The sequence below is a fragment of the Homo sapiens genome, chromosome X (genome assembly GCF_000001405.40).
Source record: "Homo sapiens chromosome X, GRCh38.p14 Primary Assembly".
Lineage (NCBI taxonomy): Eukaryota > Metazoa > Chordata > Mammalia > Primates > Hominidae > Homo > Homo sapiens.
In genome coordinates, this window is record NC_000023.11 from 724163 (window position 1) to 734837 (window position 10675).

Genomic DNA, 10675 nt, shown 5'->3' on the forward strand with positions numbered 1-10675 from the left:
TGCTTTTGTCTTCCTCTGGTTCGAGGTTCCCTGTGATCCATAAAAATGGTTCAGCCTCCCTACTTGGTGTCTCTGTTTCAAAGGAATGTGCTCATGTAGAGAAGGATATTTTTTGGAGTCTGGATTTTTGGGTCTGGGAGAAGGTTGAGAAGAGAAAGGGTGGATATCGTTGATCTTTGTAGGGCAGAAAATTGCTGCAGCATCCACAATTGATTCTGCCATTGTGGGAAGTCAGCTAAGAGCTGCCTCTCTGCTCTTGAACCTGGTTGCAAAGGTGGATTGAGGGAGGTCGGCCTGGCCTGAGGCTGGGATCTGTCAGGACCAGTCAAAACCGTCAAATTCCTTCTTCCTTTTTGTACTGCGAGGTCACAGGACAGGTGCCAGCATCTACCTGTGATCCAGGAGCTGGGGCTAAGAAGTAGCCAGGTGGTACTGGAGTAACCTGTCCTGCACCCAAGTTCTGAACAACTGACCACCTGCAGGACCCTCCCCACCTGAGATCTGAACACCTCACCAACTGCAGTGACCGTCCCCACCTGAGATCTGACCACCTCACCACCTGCAGTGACCCTCCCCCACCTGAGATCTGACCACCTGACCACCTGCAGAGACCCTCCCCACCTGAGATCTAAACAACTGACCACCTGCAGTGACCCTCCCCACCTGAGATCTAAACACCTGACCACCTGCAGGGACCCTCCCCACCTGAGATCTAAACACCTGACCACCTGCAGAGACCCTCCCCACCTGAGATCTAAACAACTGACCACCTGCAGTGACCCTCCCCCACCTGAGATCTGAACACCTGACCACCTGCAGTGACCCTCCCCACCTGAGATCTAAACACCTGACCACCTGCAGGGACCCTCCCCACCTGAGATCTGAACACCTGACCACCTGCAGAGACCCTCCCCACCTGAGATCTAAACAACTGACCACCTGCAGGGACCCTCCCCACCTGAGATCTGAACACCTGACCACCTGCAGTGACCCTCCCCACCTGAGATCTGAACACCTGACCACCTGCAGGGACCCTCCCCACCTGAGATCTAAACAACTGACCACCTGCAGGGACCCTCCCCACCTGAGATCTAAACACCTGACCACCTGCAGGGACCCTCCCCACCTGAGATCTAAACACCTGACCACCTGCAGAGACCCTCCCCACCTGAGATCTAAACACCTGACCACCTGCAGAGACCCTCCCCACCCAAGATCTGACCACCTGACCACCTGCAGTGACCCTCCCCACCCGAGATCTGAACACCTCACCACCTACAGGTACCCTCCCCACCTGAGGTCTGAACACCTGATGGTACATAAGCAGGGTTTTATATACCATCTTAACAAAGGATGATGAATTCCTGGAGGATTACCTAGGCAAAGGGAAAAAAAATTATGGACTTCCAGGGGTGGTACATTGTGGGAAGCTACATATCTTTGGGAAAGAAATGGAAGATAAGGGTGATTTCATCAGCTTTGATGCCTTCTCCATGACACGTGTCATCTGAAATAATTAAGAGCCATGCTCGGCCAGGCGCAGTGGCTCGCGCCTGTAATCCCAGCACTTTGGGAGGCCAAGGGGGTGAATCACAAGGTCAGGAGATCGAGACCATCCTGGCTAACACAGTGAAACGCCGTCTCCACTAAAAATACAAAAAAGTTAGCCAGGCGTGGTGGCGGGCACCTGTCGTCCCAGCTACTCGGGAGGCTGAGGCAGGAGAATGGTGTGAACCTGGGAGGCGGAGCTTGCAGTGAGTCGAGATCACGCCACTGCACTCCAGCCTGGGTGACAGAGCCAGACTCCGTCTCAAAAAAAAAATAATAAAATAAAAGAGCCATGCTCCTCTTCCTGGTATGGGAGGGAGACACCTTTTGTGATGGGTAATACTGTGTGTCAACAGGATCAGATTGAAGGATGCAAAGTATCGATTCTGAGTGTCACCGTGAGCGTGTTGCCAAAGGAGATTAACATTTGAGTCACGGGGCCGGGAAAGGCAGACTCACCCTTAATCTGGGTGGGCACTATCTCATCAGCTGCCAGCAGGGCCAGAATATAAAGCAGGCAGAAACACGTGAAAAGGCTAGACTGGCTTAGCCTCCGAGCCTACATCTTTCTCCCATTGCTGGAGGCTTCCTGCCCTCGAACATCGGACTCCAAGTTCTTCCCCTTGGGGACTTGGACTGCTGCTCCTTACTCCTCAGCCTGCAGATGGCCCGTGGTGGAATCTTGTGACCATGTCAGTTAATGCTGCTTAATAAACTCTCCTTTAGATAGATAGATAGAAAGATAGATAGGTAGGTAGGTAGATAGATAGATAGATGATAGAAAGATAGAAAGATAGGTAGATAGATAGATAGAAAGATAGACAGATAGATGGAAAGATAGATAGAGAACTATATATATAGTTTTATATATAGAATGATACATAGTGTTATATATAGATATTTATATATAAACTATATATAACTACATAGTTTATATATAAAACTGTATAACTATATACAGTTTTACATATATAAAACTATATATGACTATATATAGTTATATTTATATATACATATATGTAAAACTATATATAAATATATATCTATAACATATAAAACTATGTGTAACATATATAGTTACATTTACATATCTATACATATATGTAAAAATATATAGTTATAGTTTTATATATGTAAAACTACATATATAGTTTTATGTAAAACTATATATAAAACTACACTATAAAACTATATATAAGACTATATAAAACTATATATAACTACATAGTAATATACATATAATGTTAAAACTATAACTGTATATAAACTACATAATATATAATATATATTTAAATATATATAGTTATATATAACTATATATAACTATATATAGTGTTAAATATAAATATATAACTATATATAGTGTTAAAACTATATATAATATATAATATATATTAAATATATATATTTATATATAACTATATATAAACTATATATAATATATAATATATATTAAATATATATATTTATATATAACTATATATAAACATATATAATATATAATATATATTTAAATATATATTTATATATAACTATATATAAACTATATATAATATATAATATATATTTAAATATATATATTTATATATAACTATATATAAACTATATATAATATATAATATATATTTAAATATATATTTATATATAACTATATATAGTGATATATATAATATATGTATAGTTATATATATAACTATGTATAGTGATATATATAATATATGTATAGTTATATATATAACTATATATAGTGATATATAATATATGTATAGTTATATATATAACTATATATAACTGCAGAATGTATATATACAGAATAGATATATACGTCTAATAGTGTATATATATATATAAATAAGAGTTCTGTCTCTCATAGTATATATATTTATGTCTCTCCTTTAGTTCTCTTCTCTAGAGAACCGTGACTAATACACCTGTACAAAAGGAAATGTATGTTCTGCCATTGTGCATTTGGGAGGGCGACCTCCAAGGCCTCCATCCCTTCCCTGGAGCTGATGGAGATGCGCTGCCCTTGGCTATTGCTATGAGGGGTACTGGGCTGGGGCAGGGATCCCCATGGGGACACCACACCTTTCCTTTTGAGTTCCCCAAGGTTGCAGTGTTTCTGATGACTGAGCATTGAGGACAGTGGGGACACCACCTGGAAGGCAGGGCCTGGTCCCATATAAAAGAGGCAACGAGAGAGCCAAGGCCAGCTCTCCTTGTTGTTCTGAGCCTGGCCAGCAGCCAAGGGAGATGATGGACACAGTCCAGGGTGATGTGGGCCCCTCCCTCTTGCGCTGCCCCTGGGCTGAGCTGGACGCTGCAAATTCGCGGGAAGACACGTTTTCGGCATCACCCCGTCCTGCAGGTAGAGGGAGCCCTGGAGAGATTGTCTTCTGAGTTCCTTTCTCTTTTATTTATTTAGATTTGTGGGGCAGCCCTACTTTGTTCTATGAGAAAAGCAGGAGGGACCAGGAGGAGGTTCTATGGATGATGACCACGACCGACGTAATCTCAGGCAAGCTTCAGAAGAGGAGACGTGAGCGTTCACTAAGGAAGATCAAACGCACCCGCAAAAAGATGAGCCCAGCTTTGCTAACGCCCTGGTGAGTGTCAGGTACAGATAGAGGATGAAAACCTTCAACACACAGGGAACGTGGGCTCCCAGCAGAGCTGACCACAGACAGGCCCAGGCCCTGCTAACACCCCAGTCACAGGTCCAGTGCAGACAGTGGACGCCGGTATTCAATGCACAGGGGACGTGTCTCCCTGCAAACCTCACCACAGATGGGCCCAGGCCCTGCTAACGCCCCGGTCACAGGTCAGGTGTAGACAGTGGATACTGGTATTCAATGCACAGGGGACATGTGCTCCCTGCAGAACTGACTCCAGACAGGCCCAGGCCCTGCTAATGCCCCGGTCACAGGTCAGGTGCAGACAGTGGACACTGGTATTTAATGCAGGGGGGATGTGGGCTCCCAGCAGAACTGACCCCAGACAGGCCCAGGCCCTGCTAACGCTCCGGTCACAGGTCAGGTGCAGACAGTGGACGCTGGTATTCAATGCACAGGGGATGTGGGCTCCCAGCAGAGCTCACCACAGACAGGCCCAGGCCCTGCTAACGCCCCGGTCACAGGTCAGGTGCAGACAGTAGACGCCGGTATTCAATGCACAGGGGACGTGACTCCATGCAAACCTCACCACAGACGGGCCCAGGCCCTGCTAACGCCCCGGTCACAGGTCAGGTGTAGACAGTGGATACTGGTATTCAATGCACAGGGGACATGTGCTCCCTGCAGAACTGACTCCAGACAGGCCCAGGCCCTGCTAATGCCCCGGTCACAGGTCAGGTGCAGACAGTGGACACTGGTATTTAATGCAGGGGGGATGTGGGCTCCCAGCAGAACTGACCCCAGACAGGCCCAGGCCCTGCTAACGCTCCGGTCACAGGTCAGGTGCAGACAGTGGACGCTGGTATTCAATGCACAGGGGACGTGACTCCATGCAAACCTCACCACAGACAGGTCCAGGCCCTGCTAACGCCCCAGTCGCAGGTCAGGTGCAGAGAGTGGACGCCGGTATTCAATGCACAGGGGACATGACTTCATGCAAACCTCACCACAGACAGGCCCAGGCCCTGCTAACATCCCAGTCACAGGTCAGGTGCAGACAGTGGACGCTGGTATTCAATGCACAGGGGATGTGACTCCATGCAAACCTCACCACAGACAGGTCCAGGTCCTGCTAACGCCCCGGTCGCAGGTCAGGTGCAGACAGTGGACGTCGGTATTCAATGCACAGGGGACGTGTCTTCCTGCAAACCTCACCACAGACAGGTCCAGGCCCTGCTAACGCCCCGGTCGCAGGTCAGGTGCAGAGAGTGGACGCCGGTATTCAATGCACAGGGGACGTGACTCCATGCAAACCTCACCACAGACAGGTCCAGGCCCTGCTAACATCCCACTCACAGGTCAGGTGCATTCAGTGGACGCCGGTATTCAATGCACAGGGGACGATGGCTCCCAGCAGAGCTCACCACAGACAAGCCCAGGTCCTGCTAACGCCCAGGTCAGACTGGGTCAGGTACAGATGGGACCAGGCCCTGCTAACACCCTGGTGAGTATCAGGTGCACACAGAAGATGGGAACAGGGGATGTGGGCTCCCTGCAGAACTGACCACAGACAGTCCTGGTCCTTGCTAACACCCAGGCCAGTTTAGCTGAGGTATAGACGGCAGACGGCGGCATTTAATGCACAGGGAATGCGGGTTCCCTGCAAAACTCACCACAGACATGTCCAGGCACTGCTAACATCCTGGGCACAGGTCAGGTACACACAGTGGACGTGAACATTCAATACTCATCCCAGATGGGACCAGACCCTGCTAACGCCCCAGTCAGAGGTCAGCTGGGCATTTAATACACGTGAGACATGGGGTCCTGCAGAACTCACAACAGACGGGCTGAGCCCCGCCAACGCCCAGGTCAGAAGTCAGGGCCAGAGTGTTGTGGCGTTTTTCCCGGGATTTTTGTGTCCAGCTAAATCTGTCCAGCTGCCGTCAGCTGTAACGCCTAGGAGCTGCAGCAGTCTCTGCTACCCTTTTATTCTTTCTCTCTTTCTTTTTCTTTTTCTTTCTTTCTTTCTTTCTTTGTCTTTCTTTCTTCCTTTCTTTCCTTTCTTTCTTTCCTTTCTTTCCTTCCTTTCTTTCTTTCCTTCTTTCTTTCTTTCTTTGTTTCTTTCTTTGTCTTTCTTCCTTTCTTCCTTTCTTTCCTTTCTTTCCTTCCTTTTTCTTTCTTTCTTTCTTTGTCTTTCTTTCTTCCTTTCTTCCTTTCTTTCCTTTCTTTCTTTCCTTTCTTTTTCTTTCTTTCTTTCTTTGTCTTTCTTTCTTCCTTTCTTCCTTTCTTCCTTTCTTTCTTTCCTTTCCTTCCTTTCTTTCTTTCCTTCTTTCTTTCTTTGTCTTTCTTTCTTCCTTTCTTCCTTTCTTTCCTTTCTTTCCTTCCTTTCTTTCTTTCCTTCTTTGTCTTTCTTTCTTTCTTCCTTTCTTTCTTCCTTCCTTTCTTTCTTTCTTTCTTTCTCTTTCTTTCTTTCTTCTTTCTTTCTTTCATCTTTCCTTTCCCTTCCTTCCTTCCTTTCTTTCTTTCTTTGTTTCTTTCTTTGTCTTTCTTTCTTTCTTCCTTTCTTCCTTTCTTTCCTTTCTTTCCTTTCTTTCCTTCCTTTCTTTCCTTCTTTCTTTGTCTTTCTTCCTTCCTTTCTTTCTTTCTTTCTTTCTTTCTTTCTTTCTTTCTTCTTTCTTTCTTTCCTTCTTTCTGTCTCTTTCTTTCTTTCTTTCTTTCAGCTTTCCCTCCCTTCCTTCCTTCCTTCCTTCCTTCCTTCCTTCCTTCCTTCCTTCCTTTCTTTCTTTCTTTCTTTCTTTCTTTCTTTCTTTCTTTCTTTCTTTCTTTCTTTCTTTTTCTTTCTTTCAATGGGGTCTTTCTCTGTCGTCCAGGCTGGAGTGCAGGGGTGCGATCTCGGCTCACTGCAACCTCCGCCTCCCGGGTTCAAGCGATTTTCCTGCCTCAGCCTCCTGAGTAGCTGGGATTACACGAGGTGTGTGCCACCACGCCCAGGTAATTTTTGTATTTTTAGTAGAGACGGGGTTTCACCATGTTGGCCAGGCTGGTCTCAAACTCCTGACCTTGTGATCCACACGCCTCGGCCTCCCAATGTGCTGGGATGACAGGTGTGAGCCACTGCGCCCAGTCTCTGCTCCCTTTTTCGAAGGTTGCTTCTTTGTGCCTGTTCAGTCTTTTCTGGAACCTCCCATCTCTCTCACGGAGACCTTAGGGGGTGTCCCTTCTAGAATGCTGCCCTGGAGCTGTGCCTGACCCCTCCTGGGACTTGAGCATTTTTCTGTCGAATGAATGCAGAGGGGTGGAGAAAAACTCCCGCTCTAAACTGGACTTTGCTTCCAACGACGGCTGTTTTTGAATTGTACCCATCGCCTCTTCATGGTATAAGGTAAGGGCTAAATATATATTATTCACTGGGCAGAATTTTAGTTTGATTTTATGGTAGTGAAATTTACATACCATACAAGTAACCAATTTACAGCGTCCAGTTCAGGAGCCGATAGTACATTCACAATGTTATAGAATTGTCACCTCTCTCTGGTCCGAGAACATTCTCGTCACCCCAAAAGGCAACCCTGAACCCCATTAAACAGTCACCCCCATTTCCACTTCTGAACCCCTGGTGACCTCGAATCTACTTTCTGTGTTTATAGATATTGTCTCAGGTAAGCAGGGGTAAAATAATTTACAAAGAGAATTGCAGATAAAGACGGACTTTTTTATTTTGAGATAGAGTTTCGCTCTGTCACCCATGCTGGAGTGCAGTGCTGTGATCTCGGCTCACTGCAACCTCCACCTCCTGGGTTCAAGCGATTCTCCTGCCTCAGCCTCCAAGTAGCTGGGACTACAGGTGCCCGCCACCATGCTTGGCTAATTTTTGTATTTATAGTAGAGACGGGGTTTCACCATGTTGGCCAGGCTGGTCTCGAACTCCTAACCTCAAGGCATCCACCCACTTCGGAGTCCCAAAGTACTGGGATTACAGGTGTGAGCCACTGTGCCCGGCCATTAAACTTATCTTAGCCTTATCTTTCCTTGGCATCGTCTTCATATCCAAAAAAATCCCTCTGGCCAAGTTTTCCTTGTGATGCTTTTTCCAAAAAAAATTGCAGGGACTCTTTAGAAAATTCCAATCTCCCTGGCAGTTTATGCTTGACTAGTTGGAGTGGCCATTTGGCCTTTAAGAACCTGGAGCAGGCTGGGCACAGTGGCTCACACCTGTAATCCCAGCCCTTTGAGAGGCCGAAGCGGGAGGATTACGAGGTCAAGAGTTCAAGACCAGCCTGACCAACATGGTGAAACCCCGTCTCTACTAAAAATACAAAATTTAGCTGGGTGTGGTGGCAGACACCTGTAATCCCAGCTACGTGGGAAGCTGAGGCAGGAGAATCATTTGAATCTGGGAGACGGAAGTTGCAGTGAGCCAAGATTGTGCCACTGCACTCTAGCCTGGGCAACAGGGCAAGACTCTGTCTCAAAAAAAAAGAAAAAAAAAAAAAGAACCTGGGAAATGCCAGGCACAGTGGCTCCTGCCTGCAATTCCAGCACTTTGGGAGGCTCAGGTGGGAGGATCGCTGGAGCCCAGGGCTTTGAGACCAGCCTAGGCCACCTGGTGAGACCGTGTCTCTACAAAAAGGACAAAAATTCACCAGGTGTGGTGGTGTGTGCCTGTAATCCCACCTACTTGGGAGGCTGAGGTGGGAGGGTCGCTTGAGCCCAGGAGGCAGAGGTTGCAGTGAGTTGAGATCGTGCCCCTGCAGTCCAGCCTGGGCAACATAGTGAGACCCCACCTCCATAAATAGTAATAATAATAATAATAAAAAGAACTATGAATAACATCTCAGATATACATTCAAAATATTATTTTCAATAAATGTCTTCTCAGGCGTCCAAATAGACAAGCGATTCTCCAGCCTCAGCCTCCTGAGTAGCTGAGACTACAGGCACCCGCCACCAAGCCCGGCTAATTTTTGTATTTATAGTAGAGACAGGGTTTCACCATGTTGGCCAGCCTGGTCTCGAACTCCGAACCTCAAGTCATCCACCCACTTTGGCACCCCAAAGTACTGGGATTACAGGCGTGAGCCACCACGCCCGGACATTAAACTTCTCTTAACCTTATATTTTCTTGTCACCCGCAGAGTGCCACCTGTCCAGGCATCGTGCTGGCACAGAACGGCCAATGGGCATGGAATTCCCAGCACTGTTTGTCTGATGCATTAGATGACATAAAGATGGTGTCCTAAGGTTCCACACAAACCTCTTCGCCCACCACTCGGATGATCTGAAAAGCACAAACATAGTTTGTGTCTCGTTGGGGTGTCTACAAACTGTTTTTTGGAACCATGGTCCTTCTCTGCACAGGACTCACTTAGCCAAATGCAACTCTTCTCCTGACCTCCTAATTAATAAGATGAAGGCATTCGATCTGTGCGTCTGCAGCCCCGAGACCCCTTCTGCATATTAAAACCCACCTCGCCGGGCAGGCAGAACACTTGTTTGTGTGTATGGGAGCCCCCAGCAGCCCTTGGTCTATACTAGGCAAATAACAAAGAGGAGGAAAAAAAAAAACTTAACAAATTACAGCTGAAACAAATCACCATTGCCCCGTTTTCAAATTATTATATTTCTGGGGAATTTCAGCCCGTTACATGAAAAGGAAGACAGCCGATCCAGAGGGCTTTTGATCGTCAGGTTATGTTAATAACCGGCGCTCATGTAAAATGCATAAGATGTACCTTACTGTGGAAGAGGATGGCTGATAATTACTCCGTATGCACAGAGGGTACCTCATTCCAAACGGATGCATAAAGACCCCCTTTTACATGGCAGCCTAATTACTTATAGACAGTTGAGCAGAAAATTACTTTCATCTGCTTCAACATGTGGCAGCAAAGAGATTTGAGCTGTACTTTTCAAAACAGCTGGCTGGCATACTGCAAGAGAAGGCCGGTGTTGTGTGGGACTGATTGCAAAGTGCATTTTCTGATAATTAGATCTATTAGAGAGAGGCAAGGACCAGCCTGCATTGGAAGCGGAAAAAAAAAATTAACTGCAATGAACAGCAAGCAGGCAGTTCCTAGATGCTCCCAAAAGCCTGAACGGGGGCTGGGACGGTCACAGAGCGGCCCGGCCCCCATGAGCTCAATCTCTGATCACAGCAGGGTCCCCAGAGAGAGTGGGGGGGCCCTCCTGATGGCATGGCCAGGACCCCCGAGGCCGCCACCGGAGACTCTGCCTTTGATCTCGCCCTGGTCTGCTCACTCTGCGTGAGGACGACTCTGCCATCCTAATGATGGTTTTGCATCTGCCTGAGGTTTTGCTTTGCAGGGCTGCGGAAAGTGTCTAGCACGGCCAGCACCGGCCAGAGATACGGGGACCTGGGGGATGAGAATCCGCAGGTGCAGGTGGAGAAGAAACTTCTTTCTTGGAGGCTGCGGCGGCTCGTGGGGGAGCTGCCCCGGGTGGGAAGCATTTTGGGGCATCTACAGAGTATCTTGGGGAGGGGAATAAGACCT

At 46.9% G+C, this 10675-nt stretch overlaps 2 annotated features.

Moving 5' to 3' along the window:
• Window positions 4508–5008: an enhancer, noted in NCBI's record as "H3K4me1 hESC enhancer chrY:639405-639905 (GRCh37/hg19 assembly coordinates)". NCBI's record gives its function as "activates a minimal SCP1, AML or CMV promoter by ChIP-STARR-seq in naive H9 embryonic stem cells {active_cell/tissue: H9 hESC(naive)}" and the evidence as "EXISTENCE:reporter gene assay evidence [ECO:0000049][PMID:30033119]".
• Window positions 9940–10441: an enhancer, noted in NCBI's record as "H3K4me1 hESC enhancer chrY:644837-645338 (GRCh37/hg19 assembly coordinates)". NCBI's record gives its function as "activates a minimal SCP1, AML or CMV promoter by ChIP-STARR-seq in naive H9 embryonic stem cells {active_cell/tissue: H9 hESC(naive)}" and the evidence as "EXISTENCE:reporter gene assay evidence [ECO:0000049][PMID:30033119]".